The sequence below is a fragment of the Homo sapiens genome, chromosome 2 (genome assembly GCF_000001405.40).
Source record: "Homo sapiens chromosome 2, GRCh38.p14 Primary Assembly".
NCBI classification, from domain to species: domain Eukaryota; kingdom Metazoa; phylum Chordata; class Mammalia; order Primates; family Hominidae; genus Homo; species Homo sapiens.
The window spans coordinates 27,253,502-27,281,500 of NC_000002.12; the positions used below are offsets into that span (position 1 = coordinate 27,253,502).

The 27,999-nt window shown below is 51.2% G+C and overlaps 2 protein-coding genes across 21 annotated transcripts, besides 5 other annotated features; one reads left to right on the forward strand and one right to left on the reverse strand.

The window, feature by feature from the left end:
- Window positions 1-182: 182 nt before the first annotated feature.
- Window positions 183-22,316, reverse strand: SLC30A3 (solute carrier family 30 member 3). Of its 13 annotated transcripts, XM_047445786.1 has the most exons (10): window positions 22,029-22,316; window positions 21,676-21,750; window positions 10,509-10,581; window positions 5,252-5,433; window positions 4,660-4,806; window positions 4,404-4,557; window positions 3,653-3,851; window positions 3,287-3,392; window positions 2,885-3,019; window positions 183-1,959 (listed from the first exon to the last, which is right to left on the reverse strand). In XM_047445786.1, exons 2-10 carry the CDS (start codon window positions 21,680-21,682, stop codon window positions 1,811-1,813), a joined length of 1,152 nt encoding a protein of 383 aa, XP_047301742.1. In that variant the 5' UTR covers window positions 21,683-21,750; window positions 22,029-22,316; the 3' UTR covers window positions 183-1,810. The 13 variants fall into 13 exon arrangements, with proteins under 13 accessions (XP_047301742.1, NP_001305879.1, XP_047301741.1 ...); NM_001318950.2 differs by lacking the exon at window positions 10,509-10,581; XM_047445785.1 differs by lacking the exon at window positions 4,404-4,557.
- Window positions 9,101-9,260: a silencer, noted in NCBI's record as "silent region_11292". NCBI's record gives its function as "represses an Ori minimal core promoter by ATAC-STARR-seq in GM12878 lymphoblastoid cells {active_cell/tissue: GM12878}" and the evidence as "EXISTENCE:reporter gene assay evidence [ECO:0000049][PMID:35858748]".
- Window positions 9,311-9,490: a silencer, noted in NCBI's record as "silent region_11293". NCBI's record gives its function as "represses an Ori minimal core promoter by ATAC-STARR-seq in GM12878 lymphoblastoid cells {active_cell/tissue: GM12878}" and the evidence as "EXISTENCE:reporter gene assay evidence [ECO:0000049][PMID:35858748]".
- Window positions 9,511-9,580: a silencer, noted in NCBI's record as "silent region_11294". NCBI's record gives its function as "represses an Ori minimal core promoter by ATAC-STARR-seq in GM12878 lymphoblastoid cells {active_cell/tissue: GM12878}" and the evidence as "EXISTENCE:reporter gene assay evidence [ECO:0000049][PMID:35858748]".
- Window positions 11,055-11,144: a silencer, noted in NCBI's record as "silent region_11295". NCBI's record gives its function as "represses an Ori minimal core promoter by ATAC-STARR-seq in GM12878 lymphoblastoid cells {active_cell/tissue: GM12878}" and the evidence as "EXISTENCE:reporter gene assay evidence [ECO:0000049][PMID:35858748]".
- Window positions 11,675-11,784: a silencer, noted in NCBI's record as "silent region_11296". NCBI's record gives its function as "represses an Ori minimal core promoter by ATAC-STARR-seq in GM12878 lymphoblastoid cells {active_cell/tissue: GM12878}" and the evidence as "EXISTENCE:reporter gene assay evidence [ECO:0000049][PMID:35858748]".
- DNAJC5G (DnaJ heat shock protein family (Hsp40) member C5 gamma) lies at window positions 21,932-27,998 on the forward strand. Of its 8 annotated transcripts, none has more exons than NM_001303127.2 (7): window positions 21,932-22,070; window positions 22,685-22,886; window positions 23,225-23,340; window positions 24,253-24,514; window positions 24,687-24,831; window positions 26,665-26,732; window positions 26,928-27,998. In NM_001303127.2, exons 3-6 carry the CDS (start codon window positions 23,228-23,230, stop codon window positions 26,712-26,714), a joined length of 570 nt encoding a protein of 189 aa, NP_001290056.1. In that variant the 5' UTR covers window positions 21,932-22,070; window positions 22,685-22,886; window positions 23,225-23,227; the 3' UTR covers window positions 26,715-26,732; window positions 26,928-27,998. The 8 variants fall into 8 exon arrangements, 7 of the variants coding, with proteins under 7 accessions (NP_001290056.1, NP_775921.1, XP_016859361.1 ...); NM_173650.3 differs by having other exon boundaries at window positions 21,932-22,052; window positions 22,605-22,886; XM_017003872.3 differs by having other exon boundaries at window positions 21,932-22,052; window positions 23,190-23,340.
- The last annotated feature ends 1 nt before the right edge of the window (window position 27,999 follows it).

A 27,999-nucleotide genomic window follows, 5' to 3' on the forward strand; every position in this document is an offset into this window, starting at 1 on the left:
CACCACACGTAGCTAATTTATTTTTATTTTTAATTTTTTTTGTAGAGACAGGGTGTCACTATGTTGACCAGGCTGGTCTTGAACTCCTGGCCTCAAGCGATCCTCCTGCCTCAGCCTCTCAAAGTGCTGGGATGACAGACATGAGCCACCAAACCCAGTGAGTTTGATTTTTTTTTTTTTTTGAGACAAGGTCTTGCTCTGTTGCCCAGGCTGAAGTGCAGTGGCATGATCATGGCTGACTGCTGCCTTGACCTCCTGGGCTCAGGCAATCCTCCTGCCTCAGCCTCCTGAATAGCTGGGACTACAGGTATGCACCACCACACCCAGCTAATTTTTAAATTATTTGTAGAGACAGGGGTTTCCCTAGGTTGCCCAGGCTGGTCTTGAACTCCTGGGCTCAAACAATCCTCCTGCCTCAGCCTCCAAAGGGCTGAGATTACAGGCACAGGCCACTATGTCCAGCTTGAGTTTGATTTTTTTTAAAGAGAAAATCAACAATCCCTTAATGAGCCTGATTTTAAGACTTAATGTGTCAAAATATGCAGTTCTTAAGACAAAGGGGGAATAGGTGTAAAAGAGGTCCTTGGTGTTCACAGCCTAAACCTGGACTCAGGGTTGGCTGCTATCAGGGTTGAGGGGTCCCTACCGCTGGACACCTTAGATGGCCTGAGAACCAAGCCCACATCAGTGCTATGGTCTAGCCATTCTCCCTCAAAGGGACCCAGCCTCCCTCCAGCCAGCCTGAGGCCCACTGGCATGCAGGGACCTCTGAGAACGACTGACTCCCAGGGATTCCTTGGCTCCTTACCTTCCAGCATTCTCCTGCAACCAAGCCCAGGGCACATGGGACTGTCCCTGAGCCAAGGACCCAGGCATGCTGTGAGCCAGGGGAAGGGGAGTAAAGAGACTGGTGGCTTTTACCCTCCATCTGAGGGTGGAGGGGCTGGGAAGGGACAGGAGGTCTGTGGGAGGTCACTCCAGAGGCTGGGAAGGGACAGGAGGGATTCTGTTGTTCTCAAGTGACCTATTTGACTTCCCCCTCCTGAGGAGTCAGCACACAGGCTGAAAGATGCAGTGAGACACAAGTTTATTGGTGGAGCTGCAGCGGAGTCCTCCCTCTTTCAGGGATAGCCAAGGGCACAGCACCAACAGAGGGATGGAGAGATAGACCCCCAAACAGACACATGGATGGAGCAGACTCATAGAAACCATAGCACAGCCACATAGGCACAGAGACACACAGGCCACAGCACCAAGAACACACACACACACACACACACACACACACACACACACACAGACAAAACCACAGGGCTAAGACACACGGACAAAGTGCGGGCTTTGGGGCCCCTGCATAGACAGAGCGAGGGCCATGTGGGGAGGGGGCCCCTACTGACCTCCCCCAGGCATAGGCACACCAACAGCACATAGACAGGCAGATGCCCCCAGCCAGCCAGCCTGCCACACAGACAAATGGACTGCAGGGAAAGGATGTTCGTGGCTCCACATGAACCATGGGGAGATGGCACCACAGGCCTTCAACACACCCTGCCACACTGAGGCCTGGGAGTCCCCGCCCCTGAACTAGTCACATCTATTCCCCTGACTCCCACCCCACTCCCCGCCACACTTTGGTCTTGCCCACTGGGGCTGGGGCTGGGGCTGAGGCTGGGGAAACTGGCAGGTGGTAGGAGGGAGAGAGGAAGGGGTATGGACCTGGCTCGGTCCCGTCTCTGTGATCAGGGCAGCAGATGCTGAGAGTCTGGGGCTGAGCCTCGGCCTGGCAGTGGGGTGAGGGCAGGGCCATGGCTCAGGCTTGGGGGGGTTCCTGGCAGCGCAGGCACTGGGCCATCTCCGGCTGATACTGCTCGACCTGCAGGGTGCAGCTGGAGAATCCAAACCGGGAGTAGAGCCGGGATGAGGCTTCAGCCAGGACGGCTTCAGGGTCAGCGGTGGAGTCTGTGGGAGAGTGATAAGAGGCGGCATCCATCCCGGGGGAGAAAGAACAGGCAGGGACTGAGATAAGGACAGGGAAAGGGGCTGCACAGCATTAAAGCCAGGCGTGAATGGAAGCCTGCTTTTCTTTCTGTATTGTATGAACAGCATAAAAGTGTCAAATCAAATGTTGGAGAGACTCACCCCAATCAACCATGCTAACACACTAAACTCTTTCCAGTCTCCTATTCTCTCCTGTCATTAAGTGTCAACATACAGCTCAACATTTCAGCAGCCATACCACCCGATTTCCCAGGACAATCCAGTTGTTAAATATCTGTCTCATTGTCCCTCTAGAGTTTCCATCAAATATCCCACAAATTATAATATTTTTGGCATACAAATTGCATGACTCTGATTGCTTCTTGCATCTGGAAGAAACTCAAAAATCCTTTGTCAGCTCATGACTCACCATATATATTTTTAATAGTTGAATCATAATGTAGATGCAATTTTATATTCAGCTTTTTTCTCAGCATTATACCATAAACATTTTTCATAGTTGCTGTACAGTCTTCACAAGCATCATTTTTAACAGTTATGTGATACCTCAGGGTGGAGGTGCTGTAATTTACCTAACTGTGCCCCATCACTAGACCTGTAGGTACTAATGATCTTTTAAAGGGTTGTTGGTTCCCTGTGCTACTTCAAAGAGGGTGAAACTGCCCCCAGAACACTGCATCCAGTGGATGGAGACTCCTTGTCTCCAACATGCACGAGCGCACGTGCATGTGTGTGTGTGTGTATGTGTCTATGTGAGAGAGAGAGACACAGAGAAACAGAGACAGATCAAAAAAGACTGAAACAATTCCAGTAACTCAAGCTATGGTCCCATGTTTGGGGTGGGGTATGTTCCAGGTAGTAACTAGCTGGGGCCAGTGTGACTCACCGATGGCCAGGTGTGCAGAGGCAACATGGTAAGTGAGCGTAAGGGCCCACAGGTGCAGCTCATGGGTTGCCCGGACTCCTGGCACCGACAACAGCGTATCCCGCACAGGTTCGAACCCCACATTGCGGGGGGTACCTGCAACCAGCACCAGTCATGCCTTACTGCTAGGGCTACTCCTGCCCAGAAGCAGCACCCCCACCACTGGATTCCACCTCCCCTATCCTGTATGCACTCTCCTTTTGACCCCTACAATTCACCCTATGCCCAAATCCTTGTTCCAGCAGCAGACCCCATGAGCCAAGCCTTCTTCCCGTACTATCTTCAAAGAAAAAAGTGATGGCCCACTGCGAGAGTAAAGTCAGAGAGGGCCACAGGGATGGGGAGCTGTGGTGCCCGACTCACCTTCCATGAGGATTCGAAGAACGTCTCGGAGGGTGGGAGCGGTGGATCCAAGGGCACAGATGGAGAAGAGGAAGGTGCTGATGGGGTCGGCTGCCTTGTATTGAGGCTGCAGAGAAAGAGACCCCTAAGCCCAACAACCAGGGACCTTTCAGAGGAAGATCTAGGGGTATCTTGAACAAACATGACCTGAGAGGCCCCTCAAAACCCTGAAGAGGGGACAGGGAACATGACTCATGTCTGGGAGAGTCCTGGGAGGTGGGAGGGAGGAGCTGGAGGGAGGAGGAAGGAAGCTTTGGGACCTGGGAAGGAGTGGGCTGGGATGTGGTTGTGGGGAGGAAGGCTGGGGCAGGTCTCCAATGATGGTACCTTGAAGTAGATGAGGATGGAGGCAGCCAGTACCCCAAAGCTCTGCAGGAGGTCCCCCAGCACGTGCACAAATGCCGCCCGGACGCTGGTGTTCCCCAGGGGCAGGGGCTCTTCAGGCCCCTCCTCCAGCGGTGCATACTCTGCTCCCCTAGACCCGTGGCTGTGGGGGGGCCCAGCCTGGTGCAGCACAAAGGCCATTCTGAGGGGTAAGCAGAGCACCTCAGCCTAGGGCCCTGCTCCTGGCCTCCTATACCCCCATCTCCATGTCTCACCTCCCCAGTAGCCCTTTCCCAGCCCCTGGAAGAAAACAGCATTTTGCAAGAGAGATAAACAATGCAGCCTGGGGGAAAGAATACCAGACTTGGTGCCACACATGTGGATTCGGAAGCTGGCCCTGTTACTTAAATAGATATGTGACTTGGGCAAGTCACCTGTTGGGATTGACTGCATTAATGGTAAACTAGGGGTAATGCTACCTACCTCATGGGGTGGCTGTGAGGTTTAAATGCAATCATGTTGATGAAAGCCCTCATCAGAGTGGCTGGCCCATGGCAGGCCCTTGACAGAGATCTGCTGACTGAATTTTAGGTCTCTATCCCAGACCCTTCTCAGGCACACGCAGGGCAGCCCATGGAGAGCTGTGTGTGCGTGTCTGTGTGTCTGGTGGGGAGGAGAGAGCCAGCTCTCCCATCCTGGAGGAAGACCCCTCGCCCTGGGCCCCACAAGGTGCCTGCTCCATACTGGGACGTACAACAGGTTGGCACAGACTGCGATGCTGGCGGTCAGCAGCATGGCACCCCCCTCGATGTGGTAGTCGCTGTGCAGCAGGCGGACGAAGGCCAGGTACAGGAGGATGCCAGTGACCATCCAGAGGGAGACCACAGAGGCCAAAGCCCCCAGAGTCTCTGCGGGTGGGGGGGGAGACAAGCTGTCAGAGACCTGCTTGGGACCCTGACGGGTGCCCTCTGGCAAGATTGGAGAGTCACTGGGCCATGCAGGGGCCTTACCTGAACGGTGCCAGCCAAAGGTCATGGTGCGGGTGGCTGGACGGGTGGAGAGCCAGAGGGAGAAGAGGCTGCCCATCATGCTGCCCACATCCGCCAGCAAGTGGGCTGCATCGGTCATGATGGCCAGGCTGTGTGCCAGATACCCGCCTGCCAGGGTGAAATGATGGAGTCTGCTTCCATTTAGAAAATATCATGTAGTGTGTATAGGCATGGAAAATAAATTGGGGGATATACACCAAAAATGTGATTTGGGGTTTTCTCAGGTGATGGGACTACAGGTATAATTAACTACTGTTATGTTATTTTTTTCATTCATCTGTATTTTATTTTCTACAATGATTTATTTTAATAACAAGAAAATAGGGTTTTTAAAAGAAGTCAGCCCTGACCTACTGGCCCCGGACCTCGGCTGGAATTCCCTTTGTTGCTGTCCCTTATCCCTCCTACTTCCTGAGTCCTGGGCACCCAGCTCCCCTATCCCAGCCATCCCCATCTCTGCATCTGCACCCAGGAACATTCCTGGGACTCTGGGTGGAGAGTGGCTTGGGCAGGTATTTGGAGAATGGGGTTTAAGGGCTGCTCCCCAACTTACCGACCACCTCCCCAGCCATGAAGACAAAGCAAACGGCACAGGCAGCATATAGCTGCCTCCGTGCATGCAGCCTCTCAGGGGTAAGGCCCGGCGGCGGAAGGGGGTCCCTGTGGCAGTGGTGGAAGGGCATCTCCACAGGTTTGGACTCCTCAGGGAGGGGCTCTGAGGGCTCTGTGAAGAGACTGAGGCAAGCAACATGGTTCAACCTGGGCCTGGCCCACAGGCTGGCCTGCTCACTCCACGTCCTTAGTCCCCAGTGCTGGCCTCATCAGACCATCTCCTTCCCCAGGCCTGGTCGTATCTGGGAGCTGCATCGGCAGAGGGCCACATGAGAGACCGGGGCTAAATGAACAGGTCAGAGCCCAGCCTCCCTTTTCCTTCCATACACAGAGCCATAGAATTTCACAGCTGGAAAGCACCTTACAGACGGTCTAGTCTAACTTTTTTAAGAGATGGGGTTGGCCGGGAGTGGTGGCTCACACCTGTAATCCCAGCACTTTGGGAGGCCAAGGCAGGCAGATCACAAGGTCAGGAGATCGAGACCATCCTGGCCAACATGGTGAAACCCCATCTCTACTAAAAATGCAAAAATTAGCTGGGTGTGGTGGCACGTGCCTGTAATCCCAGCTACTTGGGAGGCTGAGGCAGGATAATCACTTGAACCAGGGAGTTGGAGGTTGCAGTGAGCCGAGATCGTGCCACTGCACTCCAGCCTGGCAACAGAGTGAGAGACTGTCTCAAAAAAAAAAAAAAGAGATGGGGTCTTGCTCTGTTGCCCAGGCTGGAGTGCAGTGGTGTGATCAGAGCTCACTGCACACTTGAGTTCCTGGCCTCAAGCGATCCTCCTACCTCAGCCTACTGAGTTGCTGGGATTATAGGTGTGAGCCACCGCACCCGGCTCTCATCTAACATTTTATTAAATAAATTAGAGGCATGAGGCTCACAGAGTTGGGGGACACATGGAGGCCAACCCAGTTAGTTGCTAGAGCTGAGACTAGACCCCAACCAATTTCTTATGCTAGGCACCCCAAAATGAGCAGGATTCCTACTGATCTCTGAGAGCTTTTGGTGAACAGGGCAAGCATGTACCTACACAATGATATAGAGCGAAGGTGGCCACTGTCATTAGGGCAGTTAGAGTGCTATCAGGGTTCTGAGGATGGAGGGCCAGACTAATTATAACGAGGAAATCAGGGAAACAGCTGTAAGAGGTAACATGAGAAGGGCCTTGAAGGATGGGAAGGATTTTGATAAAGACAGGTGAATGCTATGCCAGGCACGCCAAGGCAGTATGAAGGGAAGGTGGAGTGAAGTGTGGAGTGGGACTCAGCATGTGTTCCTGGCCTTGGTGTGCCTCCTTTCCAGGCCCACCTCCCAGAACCTCCACTCCTGGATCCTGCCCCCGCCCTCCCTAGACATGAAGCTGAAGTGTGGCCCTTTAAGAGACGAGCGGGACATTGGGGCCAAAAAGTCTGATTCCGGGCACAGAGAACTGATGGCTAGATTCCAGAGCTGGGGTTGTCATGGGAGGAAGGGGTGCAGCCTGCTATGGCTGAGGATGGCAGTGGGAGGAGCATGTTAATTGGACTTCAGTCCGACTATAAGCACCCAGCAGAGCCCACCTTAACTGCATGGTACCATAAGTCTCCCTTGACAAATGAATGGGGCTTGGGACCTCACCTGGGGATGCCAGAGGCTGAGTGAGGTCAGGCTGAGTGCTAAGTCCATTCTGGTCCAATTCTCAGCCCCACCACTACCCAACCTGAACCCAGCAAGGACAGAATTTTCCACAGAATTCAGGACCTGAATAGAAAATACAGTACTAGAAATACTCATGGAGGTGTGACAAGAATACCCACAAGTAAAAACGATGGCTCCAGATAGAAATGTGATCATAGCAGCAAAGTGGGGCGGGATGTCTGGGGCCTTCTGGCTAAAGACAATTCTGCCAAGTGGGTGAACTGAGTTTTGAGGGAGGTAGGGGGAACATTTGGTGCTTGTACAGAGAACTGAAATACTGGTAGATTAATTTCTTGAATTTCCAAAGCCCCATCCAAGACTTAGAATCTGGGCGTGTATGATTCTGGATGTGTTTCCAGAGGAGATGGCGTGGTGAAGGAGGCTGTGAAACCGATCCTCATTCATTCAATGAGGTGCACCAGGCAGAGCACACATAATGAAGCCTGGTCTGGTGGGAAAGACAGATTGTAACAAATGGCTTACTACATAAGGACAGGTTGATGCTAGGAGGGTTATGAACAAAGCACTTTGGGGTGCAGGGAAGGGAGCACTCCCTCACAGCGGGCTCGGAGAACTTCACAGAGAAAGGTATGTTTAAGGAGATGAGACCTAGTTGGAGAAGGGTGTTCCAGACATGTAGAATGACAAAGACGAGGTTTGTGGCTTGGAGTCTAAGCGTGAAGTGTCAGGGGAGGGCTGAGGAGGAAAGTGATGGGCTCAAAGGAACATAAAGGGAGATACACTGACTGCTTGAACAAATATCTCCTGAGCACTGAGATGACCTTGCTGATGGGAGGAAGAGAGGAGAAGAGAGGAAATGGAGGGGTCTAGAACAAACCAGGCCAGAGCTTCCCTGGAGGGGCAGGTAGGTTAGGAAATGCCTTTCAGAAAATGCTGCAGGATTCGGTGACTAATGGTCATATGAGTGAAGATGGACTGGAGTTGGAGATGTGAGTCTGAAGCGCAGAGGCTGGGTGGCTTTGGGGGCAGTGGGCAACATTCATTCCCTGGCCTTGTAAGGCACAGCACAGCCAGTCATCAAGGTGGCCACCCATCAACAGGCTGCTCCCTTTTGTTCTGCATAATTTGGGCACTAAGGAAGCCTGGCTGTTGGTGTGTGGGGGTGTGGGCATGTGGGGTGGCTACATGCTGTTTAGAGACAAGGAAAGGCTGTTTCCTCTCCCTGGCCCTCCGAAACCCCCAACCAACAACCGATATTGAGCGGGGAAGAGGGGTGACGTAGCAGGGGCTGAACCAAAATCAAAAGGACACCTGAAGAGATGCCAGGCCTACGGCAGAGCCCCCACCGCGTCTCTGCAGGCCCCTGCAGGAAGGGGTCCAGCTCTCTTCTGCTCACCCCCTCCCCCAACCCAGCTTGAAGGCCCCCACCCAAAGAAAGAGCGAGAAGCACACAGAAGCACCACGTCAGAGACAAAGGGAAAGGGACTAGGAGAGAAACAGAAAGATTGAGAGAGGTGGGGGAAGAGAAAAAGCCGGAGACCCTGCCAAATTCCGGAGACAAACGGACGGTCAGCCGACAGACAAGATGGCCCACGGGGGTGGGCAGGGAGGTCGGACGGCCGCTCAGAGGGGCAGGTGGACGGTGGCGGCAGGCGCGGGGGCCGGCGGGGCGCGTTGGCGGTTCTCCTGCCACCCCCGGCCCGCTGTCCCGGCCGCTCCGCGCGCCTCATTTCACACCTCGCCGCCCCCGGCCCCGTCTGTGCGGAGCCGGGAATACCCCCGCTGCCCAGACCGCACCTGCTCCTTCCTCGCCGCCCCCTCGCTTCCCGGCGGCCGCCCGCCCCCCAGGGGCCCGCAAGACCCGCGCGGAGCCCGGCCCATCCTCGGGCCCCGGCGCCCACAGCTGGCCGCGGCTGGAGGGGGCGCGCGGAGGGGAGCCCCCGGGGCCTACAGAGGGAGCTCTGAAGCCTGGGCAGCGAGGCGCTCCCGCCCTGGGCCCGGGGCAATGCGGACCTTGGCGCACCGGGCGAGGGCTCCGGCCCGACCGAGCGGCAGCTGCTCCCAGGGAAGGCAGGCGCCGCGGGGGTGGCGGAGGGGTCCGGCGGCCTGGGACGCCGGCCGGAGGGGAGTGAGAGGCCGCTTCACCCGAGGAAGTCAGGCGGCCGGGAGGAGGCGTAGCCGGCTGTGTAGGGCTGGGCGCTCCGTGTGGCCAGAGGGGATGAAGCGGGGTGCAGCGGAGCGAGGGACCCGCGGTGCGCTGGGGCGGCCGCCGGGGCCCGCGCCGAGAGAGACAACGAAATGGACGGAGGGTAGTAGGGTGGCGCCCCCGGGCCGAGGGCCAGCCCAGGTCTGTCCTACCTCTTCAAACGCAGGCTGCCTCCGGCGCCACCGCGGTCCCGGGGGCTCACCAGGCGAGTGGTCTCCAAGCCCCCAGCGGCTGGAGAGGGCTCCATGTTCCCGGTGCCCCGACCGTCTAGGCCCCACCGAGGAAGAGAGAGGCCGGGCCGGCCCCGCGCCAAGTCCGAGCAGCCCGCCGACCCCCGGGATCCCCGCAGGGCGGCGGGGCCACCAGAGTGGAGCGAACTGCAGCGACTGTGGCGCGCGGAGTCCGAACTGCAGATCCCGCTGCCGCCGGAGCCCCGCCCCGCGTGGGGCGAGCTCCCCAAGCTCCGCCTCCAGGCTCCCCGGCCTCTCCCCACCCTTAAGCCCCGCCCCCACTGCCAAAGCCCCATTTCCCCGCGCCAGAGCCCGGGAGCGCCCCGCCACCCGAGTTCTGGAGAACTCCTCATCTCCACAGCCCCGTCCCCCAGGCGAGCTAGCCCCACCTCTGCACACAGTCCCGCCCACCGGTTCCAAGCCTCGCTCCTGAAGCCCAAGAACCTCACGACCAACCTTCGCCCAACGACCACCACTCTGTGCATGCCTGCGCGGGGGTGTCGCCCACCACGCCGTCACCCTGTGGCCGCAACCCTCACGCGGAGGCAGAAACAGGAGCGGACCCATTACCTATCTCCAGAGAACCAGAAAGAACATGAGGTGAGCGGTGACACAGGGAGATTCCAGGGACTCCAGAAACCCCTTTACGGAGAATCTGGGGTCGGAATTCACGAGCCCAGTCTGCTGCCAATCACTGTACCGCGAATGATCATTTATTTTTATACAGAAACATTGGGTGACAAGCTTCCTGCTCTCCTTCAACCCACTGTTATCCCTGCTTTTCAAATGAGTAAACTGAGACCCAGAGGAAGAAGAGTCCAAGGTCATGCAGGCTGTGAATAAAGGGCCCGGCCTGGACCCCCATCCTCTTTCCCTCCCCGGCTCTGGACGCCGCACTGGCAACTGGAGAGCGCTCACAGTTCTCTTACGGGCGGGGGTCCAGTGAAGTCGAGCCGCCTATCTGGTGTCACGGCCACTGTTTATGGAGAGGGGCTGAGGGGCAGCGGGGCAGCGTGTCAGCTAGTGATTCCCATCCTCCACACCTGCAGCGCCCTCCTGGACATTACCGCATTCTGCCTCATTTGGGGGAAACTAAAACCCAGGGGAGGGAGCGACTTACAGCAAAGTCGGTGGCCGAGCCTCAAGTCGAAGCTTCAAATGCTCAATGTTCTCTCCCCTCGCACCTGCCGCCACTGTAGAATGGGAGGGGGTGGGAAGAGGATTGTGCACTCGAAGCTGTGACAGTCTGTGAAGAGGAGGGTCCGTAGGAGGAGGGGAGCGAGTGAGCAGGGATGGGGAAGCGTGGAGGGTGGGAATGGTTAGTGAGCCCAGGCAAGAAACTCATCAGCCGCATCCTTCAGAACACACTGGGCGTCCTGAACTTAGGCTTCTGGGGACAGACACCTACCCTCGATATTGTTATTCCAACGAGCCCAAGAGTGCACTTGCAAAAAAACAAAACAAAACAAAACAAAAACGGGAGCACGTGCCAGATACAGTGGTTGGAAGTGATGGGGTTAACCCGGGAGAGCTTCGCGGAGGAGGTGAGGCTTAAACGGATTAGGAAAGCTGGGCGGCGGGCTGGCTGTTCCGGCGGGGGAGAGTGTGGCTTGGCCCGTGCCAAGGTGTGCGGGCGGCGCGTGCGAAGGGACTGTCCTGCGCCGCTGCTGCAGAGCGGCACGGGAGAGCCACAGGGGCTGCGCGCGCCCTCCGCGCCGTCCCCACCCCCGGCTGCGCCAGCCTCTCCTCCGCGCCAGCCCCCAGCCTCCCCAGTCCAAAGCCCATGAGGGGTGAGGGGGTAAGGGAGCGAGGGGGTCGTTCTCCCTCTAACCTCCCTTTAAGGCGCGGGACTTGACGGACCTCTGTTTCTCCTCGGGTCACAGGGAAGCAAATTGAGGCGGCGAGAGCAGGAAACCACCGGCCAAGTTCACCTTTTCGGGCTACTTATCAGAGCCAAGGTGGAACCCAAGTCCCTGCTTAGCTATGCCAGGGCTCTGGGTACGTCGGGCCCGGCGCCGTCGGTTTTCTAAGCGTCGCACCCATCCTAGGGCTCTCCCCAATTCTGAGAACCCTGGAGCTGGGATGCGCAGCGGCCACCGCGCACTCCGCGGCTCGGATGCGGCAGCCTGGCCCGTAGTGACCCTGGCGGGTGAGCTCGAGAATGGGGAGAAACTGCGGGGTCCTATGCGGGGAAAGGGATTCTTGGCACGGCTCAGCCGATGACGACAACAGGGGACATAACAACAATGGCTTCCTCCGGGATTTCCCTTCCCGGGCAGCCCGCGCGGCCAGCAGCACCGAGTGCCAGGAGGGGGCGCAGACGCCCTCACGTGCCCTGCCCGCCCCTGCCGGGAGCCACCAGGCGGGGAAGGCAGAGGCGCCTCGCAGCGCGTGGCCAAACGTGCCGCCTCCAGAAACCGAGGGCGCCGGCGGTGGGAATACCAACCTTCACTTGAAAATTTATGTAAGGAAAGCTTGGCGGCGAAACAGGATGCTTCCACCTGTTCCTCAAAGAGCTATCAAATGGCCCTGTGAACATCTTTGCAAAGGGTCCTCGCGAATGCCAGGCCTCAAGTGCGATTCTCTGCACTGAGGTCAGGATTTAATCTGGGCTGGAGATTTCAGGCAAATTTTAAAATGTAAGCATGTGGACAAGAGTTAACACCTGACAAGTGCAAGCCAAGCTGAAGAGCATGGACAGAGGAGGCAACCTGGAGGTCCAACTTCTACTCCATGCTCCACTCAGATGTCACCTCCAGGAAGCCTTTCCTGACTTCTCCCAGACTGGGTATGTGTCCCTCCCTGCTTCTCTCAAGGCTCACACTGTGCTTATCTGATCCCAGCACTCACCTCATGGTGATGAAGTCCTTTGCTTGTCTGTCTCCCTGCTACAGGGCAAGCTCCCTGAAGGCAGGAATTGTTTCTTTCTCATCTGTGTCCCCAAACCCCACTAATGGCTGCCACACTGTCCTCAATTAAGCCATCCCAGAAAGGAGGAGCTAGTTGAGTGGAAGCAGGATGGAGGAGGTAGGATTTTAGCTGGTCACAGGGAGAATGAGGGAGGGCAACAGCTTAAATGTCACTGCCTCGGGGAGGCCTTCTCTGGCCCCCACACTAAGTTAATTCTCATGTCATACACTCTCATCGCACAATACTTTTTCTGTTTTGTTCTTTTTTTTTTTTTTTTGGAAACAGGGTCTCACTCTGTTGCTCAGGCTGGAGTGCAGTGGTACAAACATGGCTCACCACAGCCTCGACCTCCTGGACTCAAGTGATCCTCCTGCCTCAGCCTCCCAAAGTGCTGGGACTACAGGTGTGAGCCACCATGCTGGGTCAACACACTGTTTATTTCTTTCAGCACTGATCATACTGTAACTAAATTGTTACTTGGGAATTATTTGTTTCATCATTTGGCTTCCAGGCTACCATAATCTGGTTTTCCTCCTACTTCACTGGCTGTTTATTTTCAGTCCCCTTTGCTGGTTCCTCCCCACCTTCTCAATCTTTTCTTGCTGAATTAGCCTAGGCCTTGGTCACTCTCTTCTCTTTTCTTTCCACACTCACTCCCATGGAGCTATCATCCAGTTTCTGGTCTTTAAATACTATCCAATAACAGCAGAAAGTAATGATTGTTGAAGCTAGATTCTGGGTACATAGAGAGTCACTGTACCATTCTCTCTATTTTTGTATGGGTTTGAATTTTTCTATTAAAAAGGATTAAAAATAGCCTGGCTGGTGGCTCACACCTATAATTCCAGCACTTTGGGAGGCCGAGGCAGGCAGATCACTTGAGATCAGGAGTTTGAGACCATCCTGGCCAACATGGTGAAACCCCATCTCTACTAAAAAATACAAAAATTAGCTGGGTGTGGTGGCATGCACCTATAGTCCCACCTACTTGTGAGGCTGAGGCAGGAGAATCACTTGAATTCGGGAGGCAGAGGTTGCAGTGAGCTGAGATTATGCCACTGCACTCCAGCCTGGATGACAGGTGAGATTCCATCTCATAAATAAATAAATAATAAATGTCATGTGTTTGGTGGTGATTCTCAGATCTCTCACTTGGACTCCAAACTCATATATCCACATGTCAGCTTGACATCCCTTCCTTATTGTCTGGTAGGCAGGCCTATCAAGCTCCATAAGTCTAAAACTGAGCCCCTGATTGTCACGCCATCCTGAACCTTCTCTTTCTGCAGTCTTCCCATGTCAGAATATGGTAACTCCATCCTCCCATCTGCTCAGGCCAGACATCCTAGGGTCATCCTCGACTCCTCTATTTTCACTCTACATCCAAGCTGTCAGCAAATCCTGATCCCGCCCTTGTCCAAACCACTATCATCTGTCTTCTTGATTACTGCAATAGCCTCCTCCATGGTCTCCATGTTTCCATCCTTACTGCCTTATAGTCTATTCTCAACCAAGCAGTTAGGTAAACATAGATCAGATTTGTCACTCCCCATCACACTCAGAGTACCAGCCAGAGTCCTTCTAATGGCCTGCAAGGGGTCCTACGGAATTTAGCTCCTCTGATCTCATTTCACACTTCTCCCACCTCATTCCCCAGCCATCCTGGCCTTCTTGTGAGTCCTACAACACACCAGGTATGCTCCCACCCCAGGGCCTTCACATTTGCTTATCTCACCAGCTGTAATGCACTCTGCCAGATGTGCTCATGACCTACCTCCTCACATGCTTCAGGTCTTGACTCAAATATCACCTGGCCAGGCCCTCTCTGCTTGTCCGTTTAAAAACTGCAACCTGACTGGATGCGGTGGCTCACGCCTGTAATCCCAGCACTTTGGGAGGCCGAGGTGGGTGGATCACCTGAGGTCAGGAGTTCGAGACCAGCCTGGCCAATATGGGGAAACCCCGTCTCTACTAAAAATACAAAAATAAGCCAGGCGTGGTGACATGTGCCTGTAATCCCAGCTACTCTGGAGGCTGAGGCAGGAGAATCACTCAAACCTGGAAGGCGGAGGTTGCAGTGAGCCGAGATCTTGCCACTGCACTCCAGCCTGGGCAACAAACAAGACTCCATCTCAAAAAAAAAAAAAACTCAAAAAACAAAAAAACACTGAAACCTCTCCCTAGACATTCTCTATTTCTATTCCTTGTTTTATTTTTCTCCATAGCCATCATTACCATCTAACATACTGCATATTTTACTCATTTTGTTTACTGTCTGCCCCTCTTGCCAGAATGTAAGCTCCATGATGGCAGAAATTCTGTCTGTTTTACATGCTGCTATATCCCCAGAACAGGGATACTGTTCTGTACTGTACAGTACTGTACTGTACATAATAGTACCCAGTAAATATTTGTTGAAGGTCTTAATGAACTCTGTCTCCCATATTAGGCTCTAATCTATGAGGGAAGAAAAAGAGTTTGACCACTTATCATTGTATCCAAGGTACTAGGCATATATCAGTGCTTGGTTGATATTTGTTGAGTAAGTGAATTGATTAAGGAAAAGAACAGTTTATGTGGAGAAATGGTGTGACAGCAATGGTACAGAGGTGAAGAAAAACAGAAATATTTAGTGCGGAGACCTGTTTGATTGCTGTGAAAGGTTCACTTTAGGCCGGGGGCGGTGGCTCACGCCTATAATCCCAGCACTTTGGGAGGCCGAGGTGGGCGGATCACAAGGTCAGGAGATCGAGACCATCCTGGCTAACACAGTGAAACCCCGTCTCTACTAAAAACACAAAAAATTAGCCAAGCGTGGTGGCGGGCGCCTGTGGTCCCAGCTCCTCCGGAGGCTGAGGCAGGAGAATGGCGTGAACTTGTGCCACTGCACTCCAGCCTGGGTGACAGAGCGAGACTCTGTCTCAAAAAAAAAAAAAAGAAAGGTTCACTTTAGGACAATAGTAGACAATGAGTTTGAAGGGGTAAATTGGCATAAGGTCAGCGTTCACTGCCAGATTTCAAAGGTGGTTTTGCATCCTGTGTGATGCTGTGAGCAAAGTAGTAAGATGGAAGCATGCTTTAAGAACAGTGATCTGGGAGCAGTATCCAGGATGAGGCCAGCAACGGGGAGAAAAGTTAGGAGACTAGGACACCAGCCAGTGTGATATGGAAATCCTTTAACTGGGGTGCATCAAGGCTGTGGGAGCTGAGAAGAAGAGACAAATGAAAGAGAGATTTTGAAAAAAAATTATCAAGTTTTCCTAAATTTGGGGAAAAGAATGAGTCTACAGTCTTACAAATAGTCGTAACATTAACAGAAATGGAGAAACAAACAAAAAAAATAGTCTGGGGGCAAATGATGAATTCAGATTTTAGAGTGTGGTTTTTTTTTTCTTTTTCTTTTTCTTTCTTTTTTTTTTTTTTTGGAGACAGAGTCTTGCTCTGTTGCGAGGCTGGAGTGCAGTGGCACGATCTCGGCTCACTGCAACCTCAGCCTCCCGGGTTCAAGTGATGCTCCTGCCTTAGCCTCCCGAGTAGCTGGGACTACAGGTATGTGCCACCACACGCAGCTAATTTTTTTTGTATTTTTAGTAGAGACGGGGTTTCACTGTGTTAGCCAGGATGGTCTCGATCTCCTGACCTCGTGATCCGCCTGCCTCAGCCTTCCAAAGTGCTGGGCTTACAGGTGTGAGCCACCACACCTGGCCTTTCTTTTCTTTTTTTACAAACCCTGCATGTGGCATCCAATGGAGTGTGGTTTTGAGGCAATGGAACACTGGCATGTGGATGACACCAAAGCACAGTTGTGACAGCAGAAGCCATGGGTGTAGACTGACTCTCTAAAGAAGAGAAGAAAGAGCACAAGCAGAAGCTTAAGGACCAAACTGCAGAGAAAATCCACAGTCAGAATTAGCCAGGCATGGTGGTGCGCACCTGTAATCCCAGCTACTCAGGAGGTTGAGGCAGAAGAATTGCTTGAACCCGGGAGGCAGAGGTTGCAGTGAGCCGAGACCATGCCACTCTACTCCAGCCTGGGTGACAGAGCAAGACTGTCTCAAAAACAAAAAATAAAAAAGAAGAAGAAGAAGAAAAGAAAATCCAGTCAGGACATAAGAGAAGGAAGAGGACCCAGTAAGGGAAACAGCAAATGTATCAGAGATGTAGGAAGAGAACCAGAGAAATGTGCAGAGCTCAATAAATGAGAAGATAGTTGGTGGGTTAAACAGAAAGAAGTGATTTAAGGGCCAAAGTCTCTTCCCAAAACATAACCTGATGTTTTTCACTCCATTTAGTCATTCTGCCTGAAATTTTATCTGTTATTCCTTTTGCATTAATGACAATTAATAACAATTAAGAGGGTGAGGTATTAACTATTTTTTCACTATAATCTAAATTACAGTGTTTTAATAAGATTGCTTTCTATCTACCCTGAGGGATGAGATCATTCTATGAAGGCAATAGTTTTTATTAGAAGTATTAAAACAGAGGAAATGAGAGTGGTAATTTTGGAGTTCTGGCTGCTTGGGAGGACTGGGGGCGGTGTTTTGGATAGCCAGAGGGCAGCATGACGGCACTGGGTAGGAGAACAAGAAAATGGGGTTCTAAGAGGCTGAGGAGAAGGATGTAGAAGCATGGAAAGACACCAATAACAATTTGCAAATCTTAGGGGAGGGGAAGGACCCTGATTTTTCCTTTCTTCCCAGCGACAAAATGAAATGCAACCTCTCTCCTTATAAAATCAGGAGATAGGATAGAAATAGCTAGTATAAAAACAATAGTAATAATAATAAAGCATGTGCCTCGTGCTTTATTCAAATTTAATCCTCATAACAACCCGAAGAGACAGACACTATTATCTCCAGTTTACAGGTAAGACAGGTGCTGTTAGCCTAGTGTTGGGTCTGCAAAGTTTGGGGTTGCAGGTCAGAGAGGACAGGGACATGAAGCAGTCTCCTTTCTAGCTGAAAGTCTTCCACCTCCCATCCTGAGATGTCTGGCCTGGGAAGCAGAGGCAAACACAATTGGGTGGGTGGTGGTGGTTTTGGTCACATGTAGTATACATGCCTTCTGCTGGGGGAGGGGAAAGAGGAACATTACCTGACATCACCCATGAGAGGATGTGAATATCCCCCACAGCTTTGGTCTGTCTGTAGATTTGGACTTTAAAGTAGGAAGGAACAGTCACGGTGTAGATACTGAACTTGGAGTCAGAAAACTCAGGTCAGATCTCACTAGATAACCTTAAGCAGGTCAATCCGCCTTTCTGGGCTGCACTTTCTTCAATTATAAAATGAAGGCGTTGGATTCAAGTTAAATCTCTGAGGTCCCTTCCAGCTCAAAAACTGTACAATTTGAGAACCTGGTGGTTGAATGTGACAAATTGTGATCTCTCTCTCTCCCACTGCATATGTTCCAGAGCGTGGTATTTTGGGTATAAATATGCCAATGTCTGCTGTCTGTATGTGTGTGTATTCCAGCTATATGACTAAAACTTTAGTTGTTTGTGGGTAAACAAGGGATGCTTCTTCGTTTTCTCCATGAGAGACCAAATGGCTCTGAGTGGTAGTAAACAAAAAGATCACTGACTCAAGGTATGATGGGAGGGCAAATGATCCAAGAAATGGTTTTAGTCTGTAATCATTCTTTGGCAGTTATTTTTGGTTTTTTACTTTCATTCTTTTTAAAACCAAATCCAATTAAGTCTTGACATCAACCCTGTGAAATGGCACAGGTTTTTATAGAAGAGGAAAAATAGACTCAGAGATGAAATGATTTGTCTAAGATCACACAGCCTGTGAGGGCCAGAGCCAGAGCTAAGATCTAGGGCTTCTGACCCCTGGCTTGTGTGTTCTTCCTAGGACTGAGCTGCGTGTGAGAAGAGCCCAGGCATAGAACACTCAGTCAAAGAGGCTCTGGTTTCTAGGTAAAGGCAAAGAGGAGAGCCACTGGCCAAAGGAGGCCAGGCCGACTGGGCCGTGCTACTCCCACCTCTGCAGCTTCCTGGCTGAAGTGACATTCTATTCAGAGCAGAGCCTCGCAAGACTTACAGATAACGGCTATTTCAAGAGCCATGAACTGTGATTAGTTAGAATGTCAGAGGGCCATGATAAGAAGTGAAAACATTCTGCAGCCTCTGTCAAGATGCGAAAGGTGTTTACTAACTCTTCTCAGAACCGAATTTGCCTTCTTTCTCAGGGCTCACTTCTATGAAGCAGGGATGCAATCGCCTCTTGGGTTGTTGTGAGGATCCAAAGAGATAATTAGGTAGGAGTGTCTCGGAAAAGCCTCACACTTTTGCTTGTTCATTCAACCAACCAACATTTACTGAACACAGGAAGTGTGTTAGGAACTGGAGGGAATACTAAGGCAAATAAGAAACGGGGAGTTCAGGATCACGTTATTATCTCCCCTCTCACCTTTCTGTATCATGGTTTCTTCTTGTCTAGGACCATATGAGGGAAGATGGGCCCTGTAGTCTTGTCCAATTCCCTAGCTAAGTGCTTCTGTCCCAGGGAATTCTGAGCCCAACCTCCAGGTTACATTGGATCAGCAGACGGCCCTCAGCTATAGCTCATTCAAGAAATCATTCATTCACTCACGTGAGCCAGGCATGACTCTAGGTGCTGGGGATACAATGGTCAACAAACAAACAAGGTCCTTGCCCTCGTGGAGCTGTCACCTGGGGAAGGCAGCTATTTTTTTTTTTTTTTTTGAGACGGAGTCTCACTCTATTGCCTAGGCTGGAGTGTAATGGCACGATCTCGGCTCACTGCAACCTCCGCCACACCCAGCTAATTTTTTTATTTTTAGTAGAGACAGGGTTTTACTATGTTGGCCAGACTGGTCTTGAACTCCTGACCTCGTGATCGACCCGCCTCGGCCTCCCAAAGTGCTGAGATTACAGGCATGAGCCACTGCGCCTGGCCAACAGCAGCTTTTAAATCAATATGCAAATAAACATATGTTCACCAGCTGGGCGTGGTGGCTCACGCCTGTAATCCCTGCACTTTTGGAGGCTGAGGCGGGCAGATCACTTGAGCTCAGGAGTTCAAGACCAGCCTGGGCAACATGATGAAACCCTGCCTCTACCAAAAATATGAAAATTAGCTGGGCATGCTGGTGCATGCCTTTAGTCCCAGCTACTTGGGAGGCTGAGGTGGGAGGATGGCTTGAGCCCAGGAAGTTGTGGCTGCTGAGCTGTGATTGTGTCACTGCACTCCAGACTAAGACCTTGTCTCAAAAAAAAAAAAAAATATATATATATATATGGATAGATATAGATACATATACACAGTGTGTGTGTGTGTGTGTGTGTGTGTGTGTATTTGCAGGCTGTTATGAGGTGAGGAGAGAGGAGTAGAACCCAGTTTAGAAGGCCTCTCTGAGGAGGCCTGAAGCTGAGATCCCTGAAGGATGAGAGGTCAAGCCCTCCAGGCAGAGGGAACAACATGGTCAAAGACTCTTGAAATGGGAGGGAACACGATGTTTTCAAATAACTAACAGGAAAGAGGAAAGCGGTGGAGCAGAGCCCAGAGCAAGTAGGACAGTGGTTCCAGAAAAGATTGGAGAGGGAGGGGCAGGACCACGCTGGGTCTTACAGACTGAGGCAAGGAATTCGTTATAAGTGAACCTCTAATGCCTTCTGCTCTCTCTACCCAGTGCTGGGGAAGAAATGAGCTGGTTTGTTCTGCTAGTTCTGTCCTCCCATGATAGTCATGAAAGCTTGGGGGTTAAAGAAATCTGGCATGAGACAAACCACCATAAAAAAATTATCAGCTTCAGCTTCTTTTTAAGTGAGTGACCTCTAAACTCATCTGACCCAGAGACTATGGACCAGGTGGGTAATGCAAAGGTCTTCATCCCCTCTCCCTGCACTGACCACAGGCCTACAGAAATAAATTCATTAATTCAGCAGTCATCACGTCTGCTACAGATGGACTCCTTAGTTCGTTTGCTTAGATGGTTCTTGAGGTGGAATACTGATTTACAAGTGCACCTCTAATGCCTTCTGCTCTCTCTACCCAGTGCTGGGGAAGAAATGAGCTGGTTTGTTCTGCTAGTTCTGTCCTCCCATGAGTCATGAAAGCTTGGGGGTTAAAGAAATTTGGCATGAGACAAACCACCAAAAAACATTATCAGCTTCAGCTTCTTTTTTGGTGAGTGACCTTCGAAGGAGCTGGCGCAATGGGGGTTGGCGCAATGGCTTCAAGGAGGCTGGCACAATGGCTCACGCCTTCAAGGGGGCTGGCGCAATGGCTCACGCCTGTAATCCCAGCACTTTTGGAGGCTGAGGCGGGTAGATCACTGAGGTCAGGAGTTCGAAACCAGCCTGGCCAACATGGTGAAACCCCGTCTCTACTAAAAATACAAAAAAAATTAGCCAGGCGTGGTGGCAGGCACCTGTAATCCCAGCTACTTGGAAGGCTGAAGCAGGAGAATCACTTGAACCCGGAAGGCAGAGGTTCCAGTGAGCAGACATTGTGCCACTGCACTCCAGCCTGTGTGACAGAGTGAGACTCCACCTCAAAACACAACAAAACAAACAAAAAAAACCTACAAGGTGAGGAAAATGTGCACAAATAACTGTAATAAAAGGAAGAGAGTGATAAAAGCTACAAAAAGGTTAACAGATAAGCATTTTCCAAGTAACAAAGCTTTTTCTACTACATGTTACAGGAGCCATTGAGTGCTCTTGCAAAGAAAACCAGCACTACAAAGTAGTAAATTATAAGTGATGCAAACACTACCTCCTGTAGAAACTCACAGGAAGGGAAGCCAGGTAGAGGCATGCTCCCATGCCAGCAGGTGGGGATACAAATCCTCCTTCTGCTACCTTTCCAGAAGAAAGTTAGCAATAGAGATCAAGAGCGTAAAAAAAAAAGAAAAGAAAAAAGAAAAAAAAAATCATTTCGACCCAATAATTCCACTTCTAAGAATGTATCCTTAGGAAAAAAAATTAGACATTTGTTCAAGGATTTCTGTTGAATTTTCCTTATAAGGTTATTATATTATCAAATAGAAACAACTGAAACAGCCAAGTTGGGTTACATTATGGGACATGCTCATGATGGCATCATATTTAAGTGACGTTTTTGAAGCACGGTAGTGACTTTTGGAAAAGGCTCAATACATCATTTTAATGAGACGTGCAAACTCATCATTACGATATACTAGGAGAAATGCTTTGACAGACGAAGTGGGAACAACTGGGAGAGTGAATGATGGAGTGTCAGGAACAGGGGCATATGAGTTGGGTCTTCCAGGTTGTGGAGGTGTTTCCGGGTGGAAGAGAAGGAGGGACCAAGCGGAGAGCCCTAAGTCCTGAAGACAACTGGGAAGGTAACACACCTCTTAAGAAGGGCATGCAGCAGCCATACCTCTCATCCGCCACGGTCAGCAAACCCATTGTGTTTCCTGGAGTGAGTTGGGCCATCAAGATGGGTGGTGCCCTCCTGCTGGGGAAGAGGGGCTCGGTGGGAATCCCTGCCCCAAGGCCTGGCAGCAACGCTCCTACGCTGCCTTGGGCCGCAGGCCTGCTAAGCCCTCCGCTCTCGCTTCCCTGCGCGCGAAATAAGTCCCAGGGCCAATGTGGCCTCCCCACCCAGTGCTTCCGGGGGCGCCAAAAAACGACCTGCCCAGACCCTCAGCGTCGACGCTGCGCACAAGCGCAGTCAACTGCTGGACCCGGCCGGTGTGAAGTTTCACACCCAAAAGGATGAAGGGCACCCACCTGGCTTAAGAGAACGACTCCCAGGTAAAGGGCCAGACCCAGGTGAGGAGTCGGCACAGGGCCAGAGGTGCCCTGCACACTCAGAGCTCTCCCTTTGAGCTCCTTGCCTTGCTCGGTTCTCCTGGGCCGCAGGCGTCTACCCTGCTCTCTGGGGTTCCGCTGCCTTTTCCTTGCCAGGTCTTTCCCACAGCAACGCCTTTTCTCTTCCTTCTCCAGCCTCTGAGTCCTCTTCCTCCTCTCCCCACTGTCCCACCTCTGAGGGACAGAAGTGGGGTGGTTTGAGAGCAGGAGACTGGAGGGAAGAAGCAAGTCCAGGCCTAGCTGCAAGCACTCCCCACCCCCGCCCCCGCCCCCGCCCCCGCCCCCGCCAGGCTCTAGGACACTTGACTTCTGTTAGGCCTCACACGGTTTGGTCTGAAGTGTTTCTCTCTTAATAGCTGTGGATCGGCGAGGCTCAATGGCTCACGCCTGTAATCTCAGGACTTTGGGAGGCCGAGGTGGGTGGATCACCTGAGGTCAGGAGTTCAAGAACAGCCTGACCAACATGGTGAAACTCTGTCTCTACTAAAAACACAGAAAATTAGCCGGGCGTGGTGGCGTGCACCTGTAATCTCAGCTACTCGGGAGGCTGAGGCAGGAAAATCGCTTGCACCCAGGAGGTGGAGGTTGCAGTGAGCCGAGATCGCGCCATTACACTTCAGCCTGGGCAACAAGAGCAAAAAACTCCGTCAAAAAAAAAAAAAAGAAGAAGAAGTTGTGGAGCTGTCTGATTCCTGATCCTGTCCGTTCAGGCTGGGGCCGCCCTGGTCTTTCAAACCCAGCAGTGAGCTTGGACAGACCCAGAGGTGTTTACTCCAGGTAATAGGAGCTCTAGACAAAATCAGGCTCTTTTCCTGGCTTAGACCTCTCCCTGCTTACAACACCTCTAGGATGTGGGATATCTAGAGGTCTGTGTAGCTGGAGGATGCTGGGAAATGTGAGGAGAAGATGTTTCCTCCTTAAAATTGGAATCTTTCTGATCACCTGAATTCTCCTGCTAGCCACAAATCCCACTCACTCTTATCTTATCCTTGTCCTTCTGTCATCGTTTACCTGCCTAATCCCTGAAGGTAGTGAGTTTCCTGTCACTGGAAGTGCACTTCTCGGTACCCTTACTTGTAGAAGTTCTCACAGATGCTGCTTCTCCTCTGGCTCAGATCATGTCTACTGTGAAGGAAGCAGCACACCGGCTGTCCAAAAGTGAGATGAGCCTCTATGCAGTGCTGGATCTTAAGAAGGGCGCCTCACCTGAAGACTTCAAAAAATCCTACAGGTTCAGACCTCAGCCCTTTATTGATCCTTGGAATTTCCCCCTTAAACCTTTTTCTTTCTGTATCTCTTTTGCTATCTGACTCTTTTTTTTTTTTTTTTTTTTTGAGAGGAAGTCTCGTCCTGTCACAGAGCAGAGACAGAGACTATTGAGAGTGCAGTGGCACGATCTTGGCTTACTGCAACCTCTGCCTCCCAGGTTCAAGCAATTCTCTCACCTCAGCCTCCTGAGAAGCTGGGACTACAGGCGTGCACCACCACGCCTGGCTAATTTTTGTATTTTTAGTAGAGACAGGGTTTCGCCATGTTGGCCAGGCTGGTCTCAAACTCCTGACCTCAGGTGATCTACCTGCCTCGGCCTCCCAAAGTGCTGGGATTACAGGTGTGAACCACTGTGCCTGGCCTACGACCCGTTTGTTTGTTTGTTTGTTTGTTTGTTTGTTTTGAGACAGTCTCGCTCTGTTGCCCAAGCTGTAGTGCAGTGGTGCAGTCTCGGCTCACTGCAACCTCCACCTTCCGGGTTGAAGTGATTCTCCTGCCTCAGCCTCCCGAGTAGCTGGGATTACAGGTGCCTGCCACTATGCCCAGCTAATCTTTTGTATTTTTGGTAGAGACAGGGTTTCACCATGTTGGCCAAGCTGGTCTCAAACTCCTGACCTCATGATCCGCCCACCTTGGCCTCCCAAAGCGCTGGGATTACAGGTGTGAGCCAGTGCTCCCAGCCCTATGACCCATTTTTAAGTTCCAACAAGCCCTCACTTTGGGGCCAAATGGCACCATCACCCTCTTCATTATAGTATGGGAAGGAGTTTAGACCTTGGATGCTTGCCTCCATCCTTTGTACCACATCTCATGCATTCCTTCTGCACTCTCTAGAGACTAATCCATGTCATTCATCGTAAGTCTCCTTCCCCAGCCATTCCGCATTGCTTCCCCACCCTCCTTTTGAGTATCACCTGGGTAGGAAACTGGCCTTGCGGTATCATCCCGACAAGAATCCAGGGAATGCTCAAGCAGCAGAAATATTCAAAGAGATCAACGCAGCTCATGCCATACTGAGCGACTCTAAGAAGCGGAAAATTTACGACCAGCATGGCTCATTGGGAATATATCTGTATGATCACTTTGGTGAAGAAGGCGTCAGATACTATTTTATTCTGAATAGTTGTTGGTTCAAGGTACACAATTCTCCAGGTCCTTTAAGAATAAGGAAAGAAGGGTGACCTTCCTTTCCTTATGACAAATGCTTCTGTTGTCTCATTTTCTGGGTGCCAGGAGGATTGAGGGAGGGAAGCTTGAGCAGTCATATAGAAAACTGCTGGACTGAGGCCATTCTCGCCTACCTTTTAGACACTTGTCATCCTGTGTACTCTGCTCACTTGTTGCTGTTTCTGTTGTTGCTGCTGTTTTTGCTGTGGAGCACTTAAACCACCACCTGAGCAGGATAGTGGGAGAAAATATCAGCAGAATGTCCAGAGTCAGCCTCCAAGGTCAGGTGAGAACTGCAAGCAGGGACTGTGAGGTAAGAAATGTCTGGATTGGGAATGAAAGAAATGATTGGGGTTGGGCACAATGGCTCATGCCTGTAATCCCAGCACTTTGGGAGGGTGAGGCGGGTGGATCACTTGAGGTCAGGAGTTGGAGACAAGCCTGGCCAACATGGTAAAACCCTGTCTCTACTAAAAATACAAAAATTAGCTGGGCATGGTGGCACCCACCTGTAGTCCCAGCTACTTGGGAGGCTGAGGAGGCAGAAGAATCGCTTGAACCCGGAAGGCAGAGGTTGCAGTGAGCTGAGATCGCGCCACTGCACTCCAGCCTGGGAGACAGAGCAAGACTCCATCTCAAAAAAAAAAAAAAAAAAAAAAAAAGAAAAGAAAAGAAAGAGGCTGGGCATGGTGGCTCAAACCTGTAATCCCAGCACTTTGGGAGGCCGAGGCGGGCGGATCACGAGGTCAGGAGTTTGAGACCAGCCTGACCAACATGGTGAAACCCTGTCTCTACTAAAAATACAAAAATTAGCCAGGTGTGGTGGCGGGCGCCTGTAACCCCAGCTACTTAGGAGGCTGAGGCAGGAGAATTGCTTGAACCCGGGAGACGGAAGTTTCCGTGAGCCAAGATCATGCCACTGCACTCCAGCTTGGGCAACAGAGTGAGACTCCATCTCAAAAAAAAAAAAAAAAAAGAAAGAAAGAAATGGTTGAGGGTGAGAAAGACCTGTGAAAATGGCAGGTTAATCCCTAAATATGACAATTTCAAGTCTTCAAGTCTGGCACTGGGACAAAGTGAAGAAAAAAAAAAGATCAATATGTTTCTGTGCATCACACGACAAACTGACAGTTTGAAGGTAGTAGTGTCAGCTCCTGTTAAGCTAAGGAATGGGGTGGGAGAGTATGTCTAGAGAGGACAGTTAGGTTAAGACAGATTTGAGGATGCAATTTTTGTTGTTGTTGTTTTGTTGTTGTTGGTGGTGGTGGTGTTGAGATGTAGTCTCAGTCTGTCACCCAGGCTGGATGGAGTGCAGTGGTGCGATCTCAGCTCATTGCAACCTCTGCCTCCCGGGTTCAAGCGATTCTACTGCCTCAGCCTCCTGAGTAGCTGGGATTACTAAAAAATTAGCTGGCTAATTTTTTATTTTTAGTAGAGTCAGGGTTTCGCCATGTTGGCCAGTCTGGTCTCCAACTCCTGACCTCAAGTGATCCACCTGCCTTGGCCTCCCAAAGTGTTGGGTTTATAGGCATGAGCCACTGTGCCTGGCGGGATGCAATTTTTTCCATCTACTCAAAGGAAAGGGCCAGTTGCAGTGGCTTGTGCCTGTAATCCCAGCACTTTGGGGAGCCAAGGTGGGCAGATCACTTGAGCTCAGGAGTTTGAGACCAGCCTCAGCAACATCATGAAACCCAGTATCTACAAAAAAAAAAAAAAAAATACAGAAGTCAGCCGGTCATGGCAGTGCACACCTGTAGTCTCAGCTACAGGGGAGGCTGAGGTGGGAGGATTATTTGAGTCTGGGAGGTTGAGGTTACAGTGAGCTGTGATCATGCCACTGCACTCCAGCCTGGGTGACAGAGTGAGACCCTGTATCAAAAAAGAAGAAGAAGAAGAAGGAAAGGAGGAGGAGGGGGAGGGGAAGAGGAAGAGGAAGAAAAGAAAAGGAAAGTCTGAGATCATTCCCCCCCAAATGAACTTTTATAAGCTGATTGAACTTGACACCAGCGCCACCTGGTGATGCTAATGAGTAACTGCAAGGTAACGGTTTTCTCATCAGTACACTACGAAAAGTTACTAAACGTTTGTATATGTAAACATATATATAATTCCATCATAGGAGCCAAATGTGATTTTAGAAGCGAGGAAAATAGCGAAGATGATTTTTAAGAGATGAAGAAGGATGAGGTATGTAAACCGAAAGGCAGCAACAGTTATCAGATAAGAAAAGCATGTAAGCTAACGTCAGATGAGTCATTAGTAGAAAGTTTACATCCTTATAGTATGGACTATGTGTTTATATCCTTACATGTAGGGGTTTGCTTTAAGTTCTAGGTAATTATTCCTTCTGATTAATAAAGCGCCACCTTCTTCCGCCACTAGGTGCTGACCCAGTGAGGGTGCCTTCTGCTGCCCAGTCCCCTGGACACATTGAAGAGAGGAGCAAGTAGCCCTGTCCTGACATTGACCCTGATTTGACCCCTCTTCTTATAAGGATCTCAAGAATCTCTTCAGAAGCACTGATGACGTTGATCCCAGTAAGGACATCACCTCTACCCTTGGTACCACAACTCTGTATGGGGTTGCCCAGCTACTCTTCCTTTCAGTTGCAGTCCCAATTTTACTCCGTCAGAAAGCAGCCCTCCCCTCCCTCCCCTTATGAGGTCTCAGGCAGTGGTGGCAGATTTTTCCTGAAGAGTCTTTTTCCTGTGTCTGCCTTGTTATTGGAACCAATGCCAGCTGGTAGGATCCCTGAGCCCCTTGCGATATCACCACCAAGAGCCTGATAACTGAGCAGGGTGGATCCTGTCCCTGGAGCTGCTGCACCCATTAATTCTCCCTTGTTGCAACTCTGTGTACCAAGAACCCCTAGCATCAGCCTCATTCCTAAGCCAATAACGCCTGTATGGAGTTGGTTTCATCTTCTGGTGCCCACGGCCATTGGCATTGCCAGCCTCATTCCATGCCACTATGAGTCAACTCAGGAAAACTGCGAGTGCATTTGAGGCTTAGGGGTAGTCATTCCATCTTTAGATTATCCTTGGACTTCAGCTACCAGCACAGCATGCATTAGCCTTGGTCCTGTAGGTTAACTGAAGTTCAAACATCAGTGCCAGCTTGCCTCCATCCTTTTCACATATTATGCAGGCCAATTGACATATAATTTGTTCTTAAAAATAGGGGCATGAAATATGTGATCTGGAAAAGATTGTACTTTCTGGACTCTTTTCCCACTCTTGCCTCTTTGTGCTGCTGTTTCGTATCCTCCTCACACCGTGTATTTCCCACCCACTCAGGGTCACAGCCTACTAATTCCTCAAACTTCTCTCCCTGGACTAGGAGAAAGGCTAAAGAATGTCAGTAAATAAAAGAGCTTTCATCCAATCCCAAGGCATATATTATGCCCAAAAAAGACAAATTGTGTCTGGGGTAGAGAAAAAAGGCCTAAAGAAAT